This window comes from Homo sapiens, chromosome X (assembly GCF_000001405.40).
Source record: "Homo sapiens chromosome X, GRCh38.p14 Primary Assembly".
Taxonomy (NCBI): Eukaryota; Metazoa; Chordata; class Mammalia; order Primates; family Hominidae; genus Homo; species Homo sapiens.
In genome coordinates, this window is record NC_000023.11 from 88,962,161 (window position 1) to 88,983,781 (window position 21,621).

The 21,621-nt window shown below is 34.4% G+C and overlaps 1 annotated feature.

The window, feature by feature from the left end:
• Positions 20,916–21,504: an enhancer, noted in NCBI's record as "NANOG-H3K27ac hESC enhancer chrX:88238077-88238665 (GRCh37/hg19 assembly coordinates)". NCBI's record gives its function as "activates a minimal SCP1, AML or CMV promoter by ChIP-STARR-seq in naive H9 embryonic stem cells {active_cell/tissue: H9 hESC(naive)}" and the evidence as "EXISTENCE:reporter gene assay evidence [ECO:0000049][PMID:30033119]".

The following is a 21,621-nucleotide window of genomic DNA, read 5'->3' on the forward strand; positions in this document are numbered from 1 at the left end:
TATGTGCAGCCTAGGGACTTGGTGTCCTGCATCCCAGCTGTTCCAGCTGTGGCTGAAAAGGGCCAATGTAGAGCTGAGGTCATGGCTTCAGTGGGTGGAAGCCTCCAGCCTTGGCAGCTTCCACATGGTGTTGAGCCTGTGAGTGCATAGAACTCAAGAATTGGGGTTTGGAAACCTCCGCCTAGATTTCAGAGTATGTGTGGAAATGCCTAGATGTCCAGGGAGAAGTTTGGTGCAGGGGTGGGGCTCTCATGGAGAACCTCTGCTAAGGCAATGCAGAAGAGGAATGTAGGATTGGAGGTCCCACACAGAGTCCCTACTGGGGCACCACCTAGTGGAGCTGTTAGAAGAGGGCCACCATCTTCCAGCCCCCAGAATGGTAGATCCACCAACAGCTTGCACAGTGTGCCTGAAAAAGCCACACACACTCAACACCAGCCCATGAAATCATCCGGGAGGGAGGCTGTGTCCTGTAAAGCCACAGGGGCAGAGCTGCCCAAGGCCATGGGAACCCACCTCTTGCATGAGTGTGAACAGGATGTGAGACATGGAGTCAAAGATCATTTTTGAGCTTTAAGATTTGACTGCCCCATTGGATTTAGAACTTGCATGGAACCTGTAGCCCCTTTGCTTTGGCCAATTTCTCCCATTTGGAACAGCTGTTATTTACCCAATACCTGTACCCCCATTGTATCTGGGAAGTAACTAACTTGCTTTTGATTTCACAAGCTCATAGGAGGAAGGGACTTGCCTTGTCTCAGATGAGACTTTGGACTGTGGACTTTTGAGTTAATGCTGAAATGAGTTAATACATTGGGGGACTGTTGGGAAGGTATGATTGATTTTGAAATGTGAGGACAGGAGATTTGAGACGGTCTAGGATGGAATAATACGGTTTGGCTGTGTTCCCACCCAAACCTCATTTTGAGTTCCCATGTGTTGTGGGAGAGACCCAGTAGGAAGTAATTGAATCGTGGGGCAGGCCTTTCCCATGCTGTTCTCATGACAATGAATAAGTCTCACAAGATCTGATGGTTTTAAAAGGGGAGTTTCCCTGCACACTCTCTTCTCTTGTCTGCCGCTAAGAGAAACTCTTCTCTTTCACCTTCTACCATGATTGTGAGGCCTCCCCAGCCCCATGGAACTGTAAGTTCATTAAAGCTTTTTCTTTTGTAAATTGCCCAGTCTCAGGTATTTCTTCATCAGCAGCATGAAAACAGACTAATACAATACCAGAGTAAGGACTAGGAACCAAGTTTACTTACTATTAATTTATTGTTTTTATTCTTTTTCTTAATTGGCTTCCTGCAAAATAAAATAAAAGAATTTTTTTTAAAAAACTAAATAAGATTAGTTAATATAATTCATGTGTATATAAGCTATACATTTTTTTCAGGGCTTTCAAATTACATATATGCACTATCATCACTCGTGTATTTATTTTTTTCTCTGTTAAACTTTATATATATTTAAAGTGGAAAAGCTACTCTATAGCAGGTTACCAAAATGATATCTCTTTAATTTCTTCAACTTCCAATTTTTCAGATGTGTGTGTGTATGTGTATGTGTGTGTATACATATCCTGTGCATAACAAAATCCAAGAATTAGATAGAGTTAATCTTTACCATCCAGGAATATACCAAAAAGTGTAACTGAAAGATACATGAAAAAAGCTAGAGGTAATTAAGTAAATTAAAATAAAAAGCACAATAGGGGGGAAAAAAAGGAAAATTTATTGCACATGGAGACCATTTTATTGATTCAAAGAATTGGTCACATTTTAAATTCGCACTTTTTCTGCTTGTCCTATTGATACTATGAAATAAACTTGAAACATTCATTAGAATGTATTTCAACTTTTCAGCCACTTGTGTTGATTTTATGTATCCTATGCAATTTTTATTCAATCCTGAATAAAAAGCCATGTTGTTGTTTAGATAACTGGAGACCAAAAAATAGTGGAAGAGTATTTAATTGCACATCATATAAAAGTAACAAAGGCAGATTTGGGACAACTTTCACTTATTTGAGCTCCGAGTATGTTTAGTTTGCGTTTTTTAACAAAGTATGATTACAGAAAACGTCCTTAAAACACCTTTTGTTCATAATCTCAAAATCGATTAAACAATTTATGCACATATTAATATAGAATTCAAATACAAATAAAAGGGTATCTTAATTTTTCTTAAGCCAATGTGGTAACTTACCAATAAAAAAGGTGAAACAAACAAAATCCAGTGAACCTTGTGTTTCTGTTCAGGTTGCCAGCTTCCTAAAAGTGCTGTCTGCTTGGCAGAATATAGGAAGTGTTTGGGCACTGCAGAACTACAGAGTAATATTATTTCCTTACAGATAGATTAGCTAAATGACAATGATCTCACGCAGATGATTCAAATTGAGAAAAATACCTAAAATTTGAGAACCAAGACATGCAGTGTCTTGTTTAATACATGTTGATAATAATGTCGCCTATTAGGAAAAAATTGCCCATATAGCTCCCCTGCTGTAATCTCTACATTCTTGTTGTTAGGATTTGCAATTAACCTTAATTAGATTACTTTGTTTTTTCATGTAGTTTTAAATTAATGTAGTAATTAGCAATATTTAATTTTGAGCTGTGTTGTCACCATTTGCAGATACACTTTTATCAAAACATGCAAAGCAGATACTATTCTAGTTGGTAATAGGTCATGCTGCCCTTGGAAAATTTTACTTTTATTAGTCTTTCTGTTTCCTAATTGTTGGAGTGGTTCTAAAAAACCTTTTGTACTTGTAAATATCACTTGTACATATAAGGGGGCATTAATTGAAGGTTTCCCATTATGTTTTATTTTACTGGACACAATATTAATCAATCACTTAATTTCTTCATTATTAGCTGAAATTTAAGTGAGACTTTTTTTGATATGCAAGAGATACAAAAAGAGTTTTAGAAAAGACACTATCTCTGCCTAAAATACCAAAGTTGAGTTCCAACACATGATTGACTAAAGTGATGCAGATTCCTCTTCTGCTAGAAACACATACATAGACTATGATAGATGTATTTTACAAGATTTGTAGCTGAAATTAAAAGATAAAGAAATTCCCAAGTGCTAGAAACAAAAAAGGAATTTAAAGCCAGAAAAGTAAATTAAGGCAAATACCACAGTGGTCCTGATGGATATTAAACAAATGGCAAAGGGCTTGGTTTTTAATATCTAGAAATAAAGCAAATGCATGGCTTCAGGACTGCCCAGTGTGGAATGTGGGTCCTGAGAATCTGAATTAAACCAGTACCTTTTATTTTAATTCAATCATTGAAAAAGGATTGGAAAATTCCTACTCCTAAGCAGCTCTTGGGTTCTCAGGTAGAAAAAAAACCAAAACAAAATCAAAAAACACATCTTATAAGAAACTGAAAGTGTAAGTCTGTCCTATGTGCAAGCTCCAAATTAATGCTACTCATTTAGTACAACAGTCAAGTTTAGACAGTAACGATGAAGAGAAAAACTGTCTCATGCAGGTAAAACCACTGAAAATATAACAGGGGAAAAAATCTTCTCTAGGAAAACTATTATATACAGGTTGTTTATGGGGGAATAAAGAGGTTACTTTCACTGAAGAAAGCCTCAGTAAAAATGTCACGTGTCATCTGAGGATACAAATAATAAGGAAATAAATTCAGCAAAAGAAACAAACATGATAATTTGTTTTCCAGTTACAAGAAGTAATAAAATAGTATGAAAGAGACCATAAAGTCAACATGTTTATAATGAATCATAAATAGAATACTTCAGACAAGAAAAAAATGCAAAGAAAAAAAGGATGCTATGACAATGACAATTATTTAAACAGAAATTGTTTATTAACAATTAATTACACAGAAACCAAATACCTGTTCAAAAACAGAGATTCTCAGGTTTCATGTAATTAAAAACAACAAAAATTATGGGCTCCTGGTTGTGTTTATGAAAGAGCAAAGTTTAAAGTAAAGGAATGAAAATGATATATTATAAAAACACTAAGCAAACAAAAGTTGTTGTAGCTAAATTAATATAGACAAATTAAACTTTAGGTCAAAAAGTATTACAGAAATTAAGACACAGATGTCTTAGTAATGAAAGGATTTATTGAAAAGGATGCTAAAAATTCTAAATGTTTATGTATCTCATAATTTATACTCAAAATACGTAAAGCAAAACTTGACACAACTGAAAAGAGAAAGAGGCAAATTTACAATCCCAGTAGGAGGCTTTCACACACAGTAACTGATCAAAAGAAGCAGAACAAAAAATTATAAACAATATAGAAAACTTGAACTTAATTCCATATAAAGAACTCTACATAAAACATATGCCATGTAGACATTTTCTTGAAGTATACATGGAACATTTACCAAAATATATCATACTTGGTGTTTAAAGTAACATTTAATATGTGTCAAAGAATTAAAGTCTTAGAGATTATTGTCTCTGACCACAGTGAAATAAATCTAGAAATCACTAATATAAAGAGAATTTTTAAGAATTATCACTTTTTGAAAATTAAACAACACATATTTAAATAATCCATGGATCAAAAAACCAATCACAACATGAATTGAAACATATTTTCAGTGAATGCAAATTAAAATAGGACATATCAAAACATGTGGAACACAGCTATAGAAGAATTATAGACAAATTTATAGCCTTAAGTTATGATATAAAAATTAAAAGCAGACATGGTGGCGTGTGCCTATAATTCCAGCTACCTAGAAGGCTGAGGCAAGAGGATTGCTTAACCTTAGGAGATCAAGCCAAAGTGTGCAACATAGTGAGACACCATCTCTAAATATAAAATAAAATAAAATAAAATAAAATAAAATAAAAGATTTCCAATAGATATTCTAAGCTTCCTTTCGAAGATCATGAAAAATTAAGAGGAAATTAAAATGCAATGAAGTAAAAAGAAGAAAATAATAAATTTAAAAGCAAAAATAAATAAAATAGAAAGTTAATATACACTAAAGAAAATTAGCAAAACCATTTGTTTTTTGAAAGTTTAAAAAGGATTAAACCTCTTCCAAGACTCACCAAAAAAGAGAAAAAAAATAAATTAGCAGTATCCAATTTTAAAAGAACATCATCAAAACTTTTATAGATATTTTTAAAAATGAATATTATGAACAGATTCTTGCTCATAAAACTGACAATTTTGAATAAATTCACAAATTCATAAACTTTTTGAAAATTCACCTTAGAAGAACATGGAGAAATAGGAAAACCTGAATAGTCTTTTGCATATTAGATAATTAAATTTCTACAAATAAATTTCTTCTATAAAGAAAGATCTGCACACAAATGACTTACTGGTGTCATCTTCCAAATATTTAACTTAAAAAATAACAAAATTTACCCAACTCTTCCAGAATGTAGAAAAATACAGAACATTTCCCACTTCAATTTATAAGGTCAGAATAACTTTGAGATAAATGTCTGATGAGGCCATAAAAAAATTACAGACAAATATCTCTCATCAATATAGATACAAAACGCCAAAGGCAAATATTGGTAAATCAAATCTATGATATAGAAAATGGATTTAATTACAACTACCATAATGCAGATTGATTTAATATTAGAAAATAAATTAATATGATTTACTACATTAGCAGAATAAATGATAAAAGCAATATGATTACCTCAACAGAAGTGGGAAGAGCATTTGAAAAATCCAAAATTTAGTTGTTATTTTTAAAAATCTCATAAAAGTGATTACAAAAGATCAATTTTTTTAAGTATCTAAAAAAGCCATTGGTAATATTTTATATGATTATGAAATATTGTATGGTCATTCCCTGAATTCACAGACAAGACAAAGCTCTACACTACTACATGTTATTTTCAGCAATGAACTAACTGTAAGTCCTTTCAAGTGCAATGAGATGAAAAGTGTCACTTTTCTAGATGACATGATTCTATGTATAGAAAACCCAAAATAATCCACAATGTAACTAGTAGAATTAATAAGGAAATTTAGCCATGTTACACAATATGAGGTGCATATATAAAAGTTCATTGTAACTATATTTTCAATAAACAATTAAAAATATTAAAAAATAATATACAATAGCATTAAAAATTTCAAATATCTAGGAATAAATATAAACAAATACATCTAATATATTTACATTGAAAACAATAAAACACTGCTGAGAGTCATTAAAGAGAACCTAAACCAATGGAGGAATATAGCAAATTCATGAGACAGTATTTCTACCACAACAATTCTTATTTTGAGTTATAGATTCAATGTAATATTAATTAAATCCCACAAAGTTTGTATGTTTGTGTGAGCATACATTGAAAATCTGATTCTAAAATCTATGTGAAAAAGAATAAAATGCAAGGAATTATACTAATGGGTAGAGTAGTGCTTCCTTATCTTCAGGGGATATATTTTATGACACAAAATGGATGCCTGAAATGATGGCTAATATCAAGCCCTATGCATACTATTTTCTCCTATACATATATATCTATGATAACACTTATTTTATAAATTAAGCATAATAAGACATTAATAAAATATAACTAATAATAAAATAGAACAATTATAAAAATGTACTGTAATAAAAGTTATGTGAATTTGTTCTTTCTTATTCTCTCTCTCTCTCTCAGTATTTTATTTTACTGAACCACAGGTAACTGAAATCATGAAAAGCAAAATTGTGGATAAGGAGAAACTACAGTATTGTATTAGTTTGCTCAGGATGCCATAACTAAACACCACAGATTGGGTGGTTTATACAAAGGAAACATTATCTCAAAGTCTAAGATCAAGATGCTGGCAGGGCTAGTTTCTGATAAGGCCTTTCTTCCTGGCTTACACACAGCTGCCTTCTTACTGTGTTCTTACACTTTCTTTCCTCTGTGCATAAGTATATACAGAGAGACAGAAACACAGAAAGCACACTCTCTGATGTCTCTTCCTTTCTTGTAAGAACACCAGTCCTATCAGATTAGGATTCTATGCTTAAGACCTCACTAAGCCTTAAATACCTCCTTAAAAACTCTACCTCCAAATAGAGTGAATTTAGGTTTAAGACTTCAATGTATGAATTGTGGGGGAAAACAATTCAGTCCATATTAGATATCAAGATATATAAAGTTCATAAATATAAGTGTTTTACTGGCAAAAGAAAGAAAAAAAAAGACAAGGAAGGAGAATAGAGTCCAGAATCAGATCCACAAATATATAGACATCTTAGTTACAAGAAATAATTCATGAAATTAAGTAAAGGATAGTTGATCTTATTAATACATGGTGTCAAGTCAATTGGATGTTGATATTGTAAAATAAAAAAAAACTTATCCTTAACATCTGTATTAGTCCATTTTTACACTGCTATAAAGAACAACCCGAGACAGGATAATTGATAAAGAAAAAAGTTTTAATTTACTCATAATTCCACATGGCAAATGAGGCCTCAAGAAACTAACATTCATGGCAGAAAGTAAAAGGGAAGCCAGGCATGTCTTACATGATGGCATGAGAGAGAGAGATTCAGGGGGGAAGTGCCACACACTTTGAAACCATCAGATCTCATCAGAACCCACTCATTATTATGAAAAGAGCATGAGGGAACCACCCCCATGATCCAGTCACCTCCCACCATGTCCCTACTCCTACATGTGAGGATTACCATACAAGATGAGATTTGGGTGAGGACACAGAGCAAAACCATGTCATTCCACACCTGGCCCCTTCCCCAGATCTTATGTCCTCACATTGCAAAACACAATCATGCCTTTGAACAGGCCCCCGAAGTCTTAACTCATTCCAGCATTAACTCAAAAGTCCAAGTTCAAAGTCTCATCTGAGATAAGGCAAGTCCCTTCCACCTATGAGCCTGTAAAATCAAAAGCAAGTTAGTTATTTCCAAAATACAGTGGGGGTACAAGCATTGAGTAAATGCGCCCATTCCAAATGGGAGAAATTGGCCAAAACAAAGAGGCTACAGGCCTCATGCATGTCCAAAACCCAACAGGGCAGTCATTAAATCTTTAAGCTCTAAAATAATCTCCTTTAACTGCATGTCTCATATCCAGGGCATACTGATGCAAAAGGTGGGCTCTCAAGGCCTTGGACAGCTCTGTCCCTGTAGCTCTGAAGGGTGCAGCTTCCATGTGTCCTTTCACAAGCTGGTGTTGAGTGCCTATGGCCTTTCCAGATGCACAGTGCAAGCTGTAGGTGATTCCACCATTCTGTGGTCTGGAAGATGGTGGCCCTCTTCTCACAGCTCCACTAGACAGTGCCCCAGTGGGGACTCTGTGTGAGGGCTCCAAGCCCACATGTCCCCTCTGCCTTGCCCTAGCAGATGTTCTCCTTAAGGGCTCCAGCCCTGCAGCAGATTTCTGCCTGGACACTCAGGCGTTTCCATACATCCTCTGAAATCTAGGCAAAGGCTCCCAAAGCTCAACTCTTGTCTTTCAGTGCACCTGCAAGCACAACAACACGTGGAAACCACCTAACTTTTGGGCTTGCACCCTCTGAAGCAATTGCCTGAGCTGTACCTTGGCCCCTTTAAGCTATGGCTGGAACTGGAGCAGCTGGGATGCAGGGCACCATGTCCTGAGGCTGCACGCAGCAGCAGGGCACTGGGCTCAGCCCAAAGCCCATTTTTCCCTTCTAGGCAGGCCTTCAGGCCTGTGATGGGAGGGGCTGCCTTGAAAAGCTCTAAAATGCCCTGGAGCTGCTTTCCCAATTGTCTCGGTTATTCACATTCAGTTCCCAGTTACTTACACAGATTTCTGCAGCTGGCTTAAATTTCTTCCCAGAAAATTGGATTTTCTTTTCTACCACATGGTCAGGCTATAAATTTTCCAAACTTTTATGCTCTGCTTCCCTTTTAAACATAAGTTCCAATTTCAGATCATCTCTTTGTGAACACATATGACTGTACACTTTTAGAAACAGCCAGGTTACATCTTGAATGCTTTCCTGCTTAGAAATTTCTTAAACCAGATACCCTAAATCATCTCTCTCAAGTTCAAAGTTTCACAGATCTCCAGGGCAGGGGCAAAAAGCTGCTAGTCTCTTTGTTAAAGCATAGCAAGAGTGAACTTTGCTCCAGTTCCCAGTAAGTTTCTCATCTCCATCTGAGGCCACCTCAGCCTGGACTTCTTTGTTCATATCACTATCAGAATTTTGGTCAAAACCATTCTACAAGTCTCTAGGAAGTTCCAAACTTTCCCACATCTCCCTGTCTTTTTCTGAACCCTCCCAATTATTCCAACCTCATCCTGCTATTCAGTTCCAAGGTTGCTTCCACATTTTGAGGTATCTGCATAGCAATACCCGACTCCTGGTATCAATTATCTATACTAGTCCATTTTCACACTGCTATGAAGAACTACCTGAGACTGGGCCAGGTGCAGTGGCTCATGTCTGTAATCCCAGAACTTTGGAAGGTCAAGGCGGGCAGATTGCTTGAGCTCAGAAGTTCAAGACCAGCTTTGCCAACATGGTGAAAACCTATCTCTACAAAAAAAAATAATAACAATAACTAAATAAAATACAAAAATTAGTAGGGTGTTGTTGTGTGCGCCTGTAGTCCCAGCTACTTGGGAGGCTGAGGTGGGAGAATGGCTTAAGCCTGGGAGGCAGAGGTTGCAGTGAGCCAAGATTATGCCATTGCAATCCAGCCTGAGTGACAGAGCCAGACCCTGTTACAAAAACAAAACAAAACAAAAAAAAAACCTATATAAGACTGGGTAATTTATAAAGAAATGATGTTTAATTGACTCACAGTTTTGCATGGCTGGGGAAGTCTCAGGAAACTTACAATCATGGTGGAAGTTGAAGAGGAAGCAAGGCATGTCTTACATGGAGGCAGGGGAGAGAAAGAGCAAAGGTGGAAGTGCCACACATCTTTAAACCATCAGATCTCATGAGAACTCACTGTCATGAGAACAGCATGGGGGAACTGCCCCCATGATCCAGTCACCTCCCATCAGGTCCCTCCCTGATAATGCGCGGATTATAATTTGAGATGAGATTTAGGTGGAGACACAGAGCCAAACCATATCCACATCTATCATATGCAAAATTATTTTGAGATAGATAACTGGTTTACTTATGAAAGATAAAACAATATAACTTCTAGAAAATTAAGAGAATATCTTTGCAAATGTAAAATATACAGACTTCTTAAATAGAGCCCAAAAGGCACTAACCATTAAAAACATATTAAATAGATGTCATTAAACTTAATTTCTTTATATCAAAGATACCATCAAACAGCAGAGTGGGAGAAGATATTTGTATTATATTTATGTGAGAAAAAATAGTAATAAGAACATATTTTTAAAATACAACAAATAAGTAAGACAAAGGCAATCCAATTTTTAAAAAATGAACCAGTCAGCAGGTCGAAACCATCTGGCTAACACGGTGAAACCCCATCTCTACTAAAAATACAAAAATTTAGCCAGGCATGGTGCTGAGTGCCTGTAGTCCCAGCTACTCAGGAGGCTGAGGCAGGAGAATGGCGTGAACCCAGGAGGCGGAGCTTGCAGTGAGCCGAGATCGCGCCACTGCACTCCAGCCTGGGCTTCAGAGTGAGACTCGGTCTCAAAAAAAAAAAAAAAATGAACCAAACACTTAAATAACTTAAATAGGCACTTCAAAAAATATTTCCTAATGGCTATTAAATATGTGAATCTTACTTAATTTTTTATTCGTCAGAAAAATACAAATTAAAACTACAATAAAATGCCACTATTCTTTCACTACAAACACACACACACACACACACACACACATACACATATATATATATATATTTTTTTGAGATAGAGTCTCACTGTGTGCCCAGGCTGGAGTGCCCTGGCGCAATCTTGGCTCACTGCAACCTCCGCCTCCTGGGTTTAAGACATTCTCTGCCTCTGCCAGGCATGGTGGCTCATGCCTGTAATCCCAGCACTTTGAGAGGCCGAGGCGGGTGGATCACAAGGTCAAGAGTTCGAGACCAGCCTGACCAACATGGTGAAACCCCATCTCTACTAAAAATACAAAAATTAGCTGGGCGTGGTAGTGTGTGCCTGTAATCCCAGCTACTCAGGAGGCTGAGGCAGGAGAATTGCTTGAACCCGGGAGACGGAGGTTGCAGTGAACCGAGATCGCACCATTTCACTCCAGCCTGGGCGACAGAGTGAGACTCCGTCTCAAAAAAAAAAAAAAGAAAGAAATTTTCTGCCTCAGTCTCCCAAATAGCTGAGATTACAGGCACGTGCCACCACCCCCAGCTATTTTTTTTTTTTTTTTTTGCATTTTTAGTAGAGATGAGAGTTCAGCATCTTGGCCAGGCTGGTCTTGAACTCCTGACCTCGTGATCCGCCCACCTGGGCCTCCCAAAGTACTGGGATTACAGGCGTGAGCCACAGCGCCCAGCCTACAAACACTAATATTTTTAAAAGAATATGTTATATAAAGTCTTAGAAAGACTGTGGAGACACTCAAACTTTCATACATTGTCCATGGGAGTGTAAAGTGTTATAATCACTTTTGAAAGCTATTAGCAGCATGTATTAAATATCAATATAAATATATGTTATCATACAAAAATTCCACATTACCTAACAGAAATTTTTATTTTTAGCTACTAAAATAATGTCCAAAAATATTAATGTAGGCTTTGTAAACAGCCAAAAAGTTTGAAAACAACCCAAACTTTCATCAACAGTGGAATGAATAAATACATTTTTATATATTTATACCGTGGGATGCAAGGCTGCAATAGAAAAACTGGCAAGGCAAAGTGGCTCACATCTGTAATCCTGACACTTTGGGAGGTTGAGGCAGGAGAATCCCTTGAGCCCAGAAGTTAGAGATCAGCTTGGGCAAAATAGTGAGACCGTGTCTCTACAAAAAGTAAAAAAATAAATAAAAAATTAGCCATGTGTGGTGGTGCATACCTGTGGTCCCAGCTACTCAGAAGGCTGAGGCAAAAGGATTGCTTGAGGCCAGGAGGTTGAGGCTGTAGTGACCTGTGATCACACCACTGCAATCCACCCTAGGTGGCAGAGCAAACCCAGTCTAAAAAAAAGAAAATAATAAACTATTATAAGCTACAGCATAAATGAATCTCAACGATATAAACTTGAGTACAAGAAGCAAGACACTATAAGGTTAATACTGTATGATTCCATTTATTTGACGTTCAAGAATAAGCAAAACTGCTCTATTGTACTAGAAGTCAGAATAGTAGTTCCTTTGAGAGGGTATCGACTGAGAGGTGACATGAGGGAGACTTCTGTTATGGTGGAGTAAAATTCAGGTCACAGTACTCCAAAATGTGGCACCTTGGCATTTAAGGAAACGGCAAAAGTAGGAAAGTCATTGTCTCATTTCCTTTGCCTTTCTTTTCTCCCCTAAAGCAGCCCATAAAAGAACTATCTGACCTTTTTCTAAAGTAGGTCATAAGATCTTTATTTCCAACGGGTCCTACCTATACCCAGAGAAAAGGAATGGCACCCAAAGAAGTCAAGAAAAATACAACAGATAGGCCTTGCTAGGTTTTCATAACTTATTACCATTAGATCACACCCTTTGTCCTCCAATCATACTTCTGCATGACTGGTTATGAAAATGCACAGTTTTCTGGGGCCGGGTGCTGGGACCCTCACCTGTAATCCCACGCTTGAGAGGTTGAGGTGGGAGAATCACTTGAGCCCAGAAGTTGGAGGCTGCAGTGAGCTATGATCATGTCACTGCACTCCAGCTTTGGTGAAAGAGTGAGACTCTGTTTCTAAGAAAACAACAACAATATGTGTGAGTGTGTGTGTATATATATAGTGTGTGTGTGTGTGCATAAATATATATAAACACACATATTTGTATATATATATTTGTGTACAAATATGTGTGTATATATACAAGCACAGACACACACACACACATGCACACATACAAACATACACAGTTTTACCTGTTTGGGTCTTCATTTCTGTGTAACATAAAATTTATAACAAATACATTTGCATGCTTTTTTATTGTTAATCTCTCTTTTTTTATAGGGGCCTCAGCCATGAAACTTGCAATGGGTACGGAAAAGGAATATATTACTATTTCTTCCTTAGAGTGGAAATAGTCTTTATTTTAATACAGGTAGTGGTAATAGGATTATACACACATATAAAAATTAATTAATCAAGCTGTACTCTTAAGAATACCAAACTTTACAATGAAGTCAGAAAAGCAAGAGTAAACTTTAAAAATAAACAGTGATGTAAAGTCATTTGAGTGCTACCAAGGTAGTAGTAGAAAGCTGTCCAGAATAATCTCAGTGTTGAAGAAAAACCAAAAGAAAAAGCTTGGGATTTATGGCTAGTTTTCTTAAAGAGGCTGCTAAGCAGTCAAGAAAATGAACAGAATTTGACACTTATTCAGATTTAAAGAAACAAAAATCTCAGCTGAAGTTCGGCACCTACCAAGAAATAAAGGCCCTAAAAAACCCACCAGGATTTGAATTGCACTACTGAAATGTTATGTTCCAGATGTAAATGTAAACCCGAAATATTTAGTGTAACAATGTCTGATGTCTGGTTTCAAATTAGTTCCTGAAATTAGATAAAGATGATCTGGGATTACTAGTATATTTAAACACTTGCCAGAAGAAAACATAAATACTGTCTGAATAATGATAAAATTATAAAGCCTAAAATTATTTTGACAATTTTTAATGTAGAATCTTCAGCATTCAATATAATAATTAGACATATAATATTCAATATAATAATTAGACACATAATATTCAATATAATAATTAGACACATAAAAAATTAACAAGCAAAAGAAAATAATAATGGATTATGATAATAGAGAGACAATAGATAATAAAACTGATTTAAATGCAAAAAAGATATTTATGCGCATAATATGTAAACACATATATAAAGGTAAATATAATATATATTTCTTGATTGACTATATATACTATCATATGTAGTCAATATACTATATATAGAATATATATTTCTTGATTGACTATACTATAATATGTAGTCAATATAATATATATTATATATATAATATATACTATTATATTATTATATATTACAAATTATTATATATAATATATAATATATAATACATATTATATATTATATAGATTATACTATGTATATTATATATAATATAATATTATACTATTAGATATATATCATATTTAATATATAATATACAATAGTGTACTATTATATACTATATATTAAATATAATACTATTATATAGTATATATAATATATAATATATGATATATAATATATATAAAATATATAATATATGATATATATTATATAAAATATATAACATATGATATATATTATATAAAATATATAACATATGATATATATTATATATAAAATATATATAACATATGATATATATTATATATAAAATATATATAACATATGATATATATTATATATAAAATATATATAACATATGATATATATTATATATAAAATATATATAACATATGATATATATTATATATAAAATATATATAACATATGATATATATTATATATAAAATATATATAACATATGATATATATTATATATAAAATATATATAACATATGATATATATTATATATAAAATATATATAACATATGATATATATTATATATAAAATATATACATTATATATTATATATTATATAATATACAGTATATATTATATATAATGTATATAGTATATAGTATATAGTATATAGTATATATATTATATATAATGTATATAGTATATAGTATATATTATATACTATATATTATATATAATGTATACAGTATATACTATATATTATATATTATATATTATATATAATGTATATAGTATGTATTATATTATATTATATACTATAGTATATATTATATAATATAATATATACTATAGTATATAGTATATAATATAATATATACTATAGTATATAGTATATAATATATAGTATATATAATATATTCTGTATATTCTATATAATATAGTATATATAATATGTACTATTATATATTATATATATATTATATATATATAATATATAATAGTATATAATATATAATATATACTATATATAATTTATACCATGTATATTTTATATATACATAATATGTATTATATGTTATGTGTATATATACTATTATTATATGTATAGTCAATTAAGGAAAATGATTGACAAGTCTCAATCATTTTAGGAGGTCTATTTGCCAAAGTTAAGCACACGTTCCTGAGAGATATTTATGTGTCTTTCTCTGAAGATGATTTTGAGGGCTTCAATATTTAAAGAGAAAAGGGTGGGATATTGAGAAATACAAAATTTTTATGTGGGGCGAGGTAGGGAAAAATAGTCCTTCATGCCTTTGTCTGGCTCAATGAATCTGCATGTTTACAAAAGATAAAGTAGACAATAGGGCAGAGGAAACAACCAGATATCCATTTCTCTCATGTGGGCAGAGGAATTACTTTGAGTTCTGACCTATGTCCCTGCACTGGTGTAGATGAGCTCTCACAATGCCATGGTAAACTTTAACAGAAATGCTTCAGGGTAAATATCTTTAGGCCCCAAATAAATTTTCTTGTAGGCAAAATGTCAGGGAGGTATGTAGCTTTTCATCTTTGTATCCATCTTATTTAGGAACCAAAATGGGAGGCAGAGTTGCATATATTATCTATCTATCATCTATCTAACTATCCATCTATCTATCTATCTACCTATCTATCTATCTATAATAGTAACAAGGCCTAACATAAATTTAATTTTACCCCACATAAAAGAGGAGAGAGAGGAATATGCAGAAACAGCAAACAATATTTGGAAAAATAACCATTGGCAGTTTGCCAAAAACTGGCAAGCGCTATCAAGCCACAGACTAAAGAAGTCTTACAAATACCAAGGAGGATAAGAAAATAGTAAACATGATAAAAATCAAAGAAAAAGAGAAATTATTAAAAGTACCTGGGAAAAATAGGCAAATTACCTTTAAGAAAACAAAATAAGACTGATACATATTAATGTGTTATAAAATAATTTAACATTGGCAAATAATTCATTAAATACTAGGATAATAGTCAAAAGATATGAATTTTACTCTTGGCTCTTCCTCTGAAAAGTTACACGAGCAGCACTCAGTTTTCTCATCTATGAATGAAAATTCAATATTTTATCCTTTAAAAATATGTAAGCGCAAGATGAGAAAGACACTGTTGGAAAGTAATTTGCGGAAGGGAAACTAGGATTTTTAATTGACCAAAATGTTAGTAACTGTAGACAGTGTGATGTGGCTGCTAAATAAACAAGTAAACAAATAAATTATTTGACTTTATTAAAAGAAATAGGGATTAAATAAAAGGAGGTGATAGTTTTAATATATTCTCTCTTGGTTTGAGCACATCAGGCATGTCCAGTTCTGAGCAGCACTTGTTAGTAAGAACATGGCAAATGTGGACAAGGCATTATCAAGTGCAGCATAAACTTTCAAAAATATGTCAAAGTAGGAATTAAGATGACTTAGGATTTTTACCTTGGAGAAGTGTGTATTTGGGGTGGCAACGGGTTTATGAAACAATTATTTATAAAGATTTGAGAGCCTGCCAAATGAAGATCAAATCAGTAATTATCTTACACTGTTTTAGAAAACACAATAAAATGGAAGGTTTAAGAAGGCAAATAGCCAGGCACGGTGGCTCACACCTGTAATCCCAGCACTTTGGGAGGCCGAGGCAGGCGGATCACCTGAGGTCGGGAGTTCGAGACCAGCCTGACCAACATGGATAAACCCCAACTCCACTACAAATACAAAATTAGCCAGGCATGGTGACTCATGCCTGTAATCTCAGCTACTTGGGAGGCTGAGGCAGGAGAATCGCTTGAACCTGGGAGGCGGAGGTTGCCGTGAGCCGATATCGCGTCACTGCACTCTAGCCTGGACAACAAGAGTGAAACCCCTTCTCAAAAAATAAAATAAAATAAAATAAAATAAGAAAGAAGGCAAATAAATATAGATAGCTTGAGTTCAAAGTTTAGTGCCCTTCTTTAATGACTGTGTGACCTAAGATGTACTAGTCAGGATTCTCCAGAGAAACAGAATAAATAGGGTATTTATGATGTTTATTTATTAATTATCAGAGATTTGCACATGTAATTATGTAGGCTGACAAGTCCAAAATATACAGAGCCAATGTTTCAGTTCCAGTCTGATGGTCTGAAACTGTTGTAGAATCAAGAATAGCTGATATCCCAGTTTGAAAATCTTCAGGCAGGAGAATTTCTCTTATTTAGGTGATTTAGGTGAGAGAGAGGAAGCCTTCTTTTCTATTCAGGCCTTCAACAAACTGAATGACGCCCACCTACATTATAAAGGGCAATCTGTTTTACCCAGTCCACTGATTTAAATGCTAATTTTATCCAAAAACACTCTTACAGAAACACACAGAATAATGTTTAATCAAATATTTGGGCACCTAATGGGCCAGTCATGTTCACACATAAAATTAACTGTCACAAGAAGCAAGTTACTAAACTTCTCTCTGCCTTTGTTTCCTCATCTATAAAATGGAGCTAATAATAGCGCCTAGCTCACTGGCTCATTGCAAGAATTGAATGATAAAAATACTTAAATAGGTACTTCAAAAAGTCACTGGAACATAGAAATTTTCAATAAATATAGGGTAGCATTGTTTCCAGTGCTCAATACACAGTTGTCAAATGATTATAATAATTTGTTATAATATGATACAAGACTATGAGCCAAAAGGAAGCTATATTTTAATCCAATTCCAAAGTCTAAGAGCAGAAAATCAAAGCTTATCCTTACACTTTACAATATCTTTGCATATAGCAACCTAAGAATTTTTTTAATAATTGACAATTGGTAATATATTTTAACAGTATTTTCAGTACTTTATTAAATTACATTTGATAAAGTTCTAGAGAAACTTTAGTTTCTATTTTACTATGAGAAGCAAACAAAATTAGACTATTTTAGTATAATTACAGAAAATTATGTCTAAAGTAAGACAAAGCTATTTTGAACCACTTAGAGGGCTGGATTTTAGAATAACATAACATAAATTTTTTTATCACATCAAAATGCATACAAAAATGCTAAATAATAAAAATATCAAAAAGGTGTCCCATCAGGTTTCCTTGAATGGAGAGGTAAAAGTCATTTGTAATTACCAGTAGACCTTTTGCTGTAAATTATTAAAGTTCTAAATTCTTAAAAAAAAAAAAAAAAAACAGGAAATTTTCTTCACTAACTTAAAAGCTTTTTATTTGGTATTTTCTCATAATTGCTTAAGAAAACTTTTCATCATAACAAGTACAAAGATAAAATTCATCCTGGCTAAACATGGTTTGTAGCACTTTTTTTTTTTTTTTTTTTTGAGACAGAGTCTTGCTCTGTCGCCCAGGCTGGAGTGCAGTGACACAATCTTGGCTTATTGCAACCTCTGCCTTCCAGGTTCAAGCGATTCTTCTGTCTCAGCTTCCCATGTAGCTGGGATTACAGGCGTGTGTCACCACATCCAGCTAATTTTGTATTTTTCAGTAGAGACAGGATTTCACTATGTTAGCCAGGCTAGTCTGGAACTTTTGGCCTCAAGTTATCAGCCTGCCTCCACCTCCCAAAGTGCTGGGATTACAGGCATAAGCCACCATGCCTGGCCATGTAGTATTTTTAATTGCTAAAGTATATTAATGTTAATTTAATGTAGGAAAGAACAAGTCATAGGTAAATATGATATTTTAAATAAATGATTTGTTTTTTGTACTCAAAGTGTGACCCTTCCAAGTGTATCACCCAGAGTAAGAATCTGCAGCAGTTATTCAGTTATCTTCTTTCATTTAAAATACCTATTTCCATATTAATATTTTATTGCATTGATTGTGACAGTTTAATGCTATACTGTACAGATGTCATCTCAGAAAGTGTAAACACTGAATGAATTAAATGCAGAAGAAGGCCTCATTCTGTCCAAATTGAAGCATATCACAAGTTACTACTATATTTATGACAGATTTTCACCTCATACCAAACACTTTATTTTTAGAAGTTCAAGAAAACACAGCCATTCTCCACTTTGAGAACATTTTCCGACTTATCACTGACATAAGTGTAAATCTGATATTTTTCCCTTTTTGTAAAGCAAAAATAGAAATCCATGCATACCTGCTTACTTATAATTGACATCCCCCATCTCCACCCAATAAAGGCAGGCTGGAAAAGAATATAAGACTTCTAAAACCTGCGGGATTTTGTTTTGTTTCTTTTCTACTACCATATTATGTATCAAGATAGTTTAACACTCATGTTAGAAGGCAGTGTCCCAGTAGTCCCATAAAGTCTGAGACTTTTATATTTAAGAGGGTAATAGTAGCTCCCTTGCTACTATAAAGTGATGTTCATACGAAGAGTATTGTCGCAGACCTGTACAGCAGATTATTTACTTTTAATCACCTCCAAAGAAACGTTAATTAGTGTTTTCAAATTACCAAGACTACCACAGAAGTGTACCGAGGTTTTCGGAGCTACCTTAATGGCTTCTATGCAGGAAAGAAAGAGGTTTCCCTCCCTTCTTCCTTCTCTCATCTTAATTTTAATCATATTTATTCTGCTTTTTTTCCTTGTTTGTATATAATGCTAGGTGATGTTAAAACATTATTTATGACACTTGTTAGAGAATGGTAAGGCAGATTATACCTAGAAAGACTATCATAGTAGGTATGGTTACTACCACAATAGGATTTTGCAGTAAAGGAGAGAGATTGAACTCCATTCTGATTACAAAAATAAAAAAAAATAAAAAAAAGTGGGCATTTGTATCCAAAGGACAGGGTAGGTGTCTGCGGATAAAACAATTACTAAAATTTGAATCAATTTGAAACATCAGATATAAGGGGAGATTCTGGTTAAACCAACATAACAAGACCATTGCTGAGGGCAAGCCAGGTAGTCAGACATCACCTGGGGGATGGTGGAGGATGAAGAACCCTATTAGATAACAAGGGTGATCATATATGAAGGGTAAATGCCAATGGATATATTAGCTGGAAGATTATTTACCACTTGCTTAGGAAAATTAGCTGCGGGGATGCCCACCTGCTTGGAGCTGCGGCCGAAGTCCCGCACCACTTGGCCCGGGCAGAATTAAGGCAGATGTTCCATAACGCTGTCTGCTTGGGGTATGGGCTGCGGCCCGGTCCGCGTGTTTTGCGGAGCCGCAGTTGACGTGGTGCCTGGACCCCCGACCAGCCGCGAGGCAGGAGCGTGGGCTCTGCCTACCGTGGGGGCGCACCAGGGGTCGGACGAACTCAAGAATAGTTTCTGTTGGAATAACTATTTTAGTCAAGAAATCGAGTAACACAATATAAAAGCAAGCTGTTTGATCTGGGTTGGGGTTCCATAAGGAAAAACAGAGGTTTCTCCCCAGAAGGGAGCCTGATGCCTTCTCTGTTTACTTTAAGGAATCCCAGGCTCTTACAAACTATTTTAGGTCCCTCATGAAGCAAAGGAAAAAAATAGCAAGAGAAAGGTGAGACAGCAGAATTAAATGAAGAAAACAGAATTTAGTCAGCTGAGAAGAAAAAGAAAAACTTTTGCTCAAAGAAGAAAAGATCATAGGCGAGAAAAAAACATAAAAGCTTCATAAATACGAACACACACATGCACACACACACATCTTTGATGCTAGCTTTTAATTAAGCTGACTTTTAAACATTGAGCTTCTTTAAAAAAGTCTTTTAAAATCTCATTACCATATTTTAGCTAGGACAAACTGCTGATATTTCAAAAGTAACAAGTATCAAACCAGAAAGGACTTGATTTAGGAACCAAACCCAGGCTGTCACGGGAAAAAAGAAGGCAGAACCTTAGCTACAACAGAATTGCAGCATGGGGCAACAGCCATTGCTCTTTCAGTTTGGCTTGGCTAGCAAAAAGGTGGCCTTGTTATGTAAATAAAGCCACTTAAGTAGTCTAATTAAAAATCTTTCCTTTTTGCTTTTTTTCTTTTGGCTGGCCTTTTTTTCTGCTCCCCGCCACCACCTTTTTGTGCAGGAATTTAGCCACTTCAGATGCCTTGTTTCCCATAAATTTGAACTTTATATTGGATTTGATTACGTCAGATAGAGTTGGTCAAACCAATGCAAAAAACTGAAACAACAAGAAAAACAGAAACGACAAAAAACTGAAACAACAAGAAAAACAGAAACAAACTACAACAATAACAAAAAAAATTTTAAGCAAAACAAATGATGCACAAATTATACAATTACCGAATGCTCTAATGGTAAAGAGGAATTAAGACCAGCTGGTTGTTAATCTTAACTTTTGCTAAGATAAAAACCCCAATTCAGCTATTTACGTAGGGAGGAGTCTCAGGCTGAAGACTGCTATCTACTATCCTAGAAGCAGGAGAAAACTCAAACTTGCCTTCTCCGTTGGAAGTGAGCTCAAACTCCAGAAAGGCGTTACCTGCCTTGCATTGTCATGAAAGCAGAAAAACTTGCCTTCCTCGTTGGAAGCACGTAAATCTCCAGAAAAGGCATTGTACAGAAAAATAAACTTTAGATCTCAACCAAATTTTGGGAGAT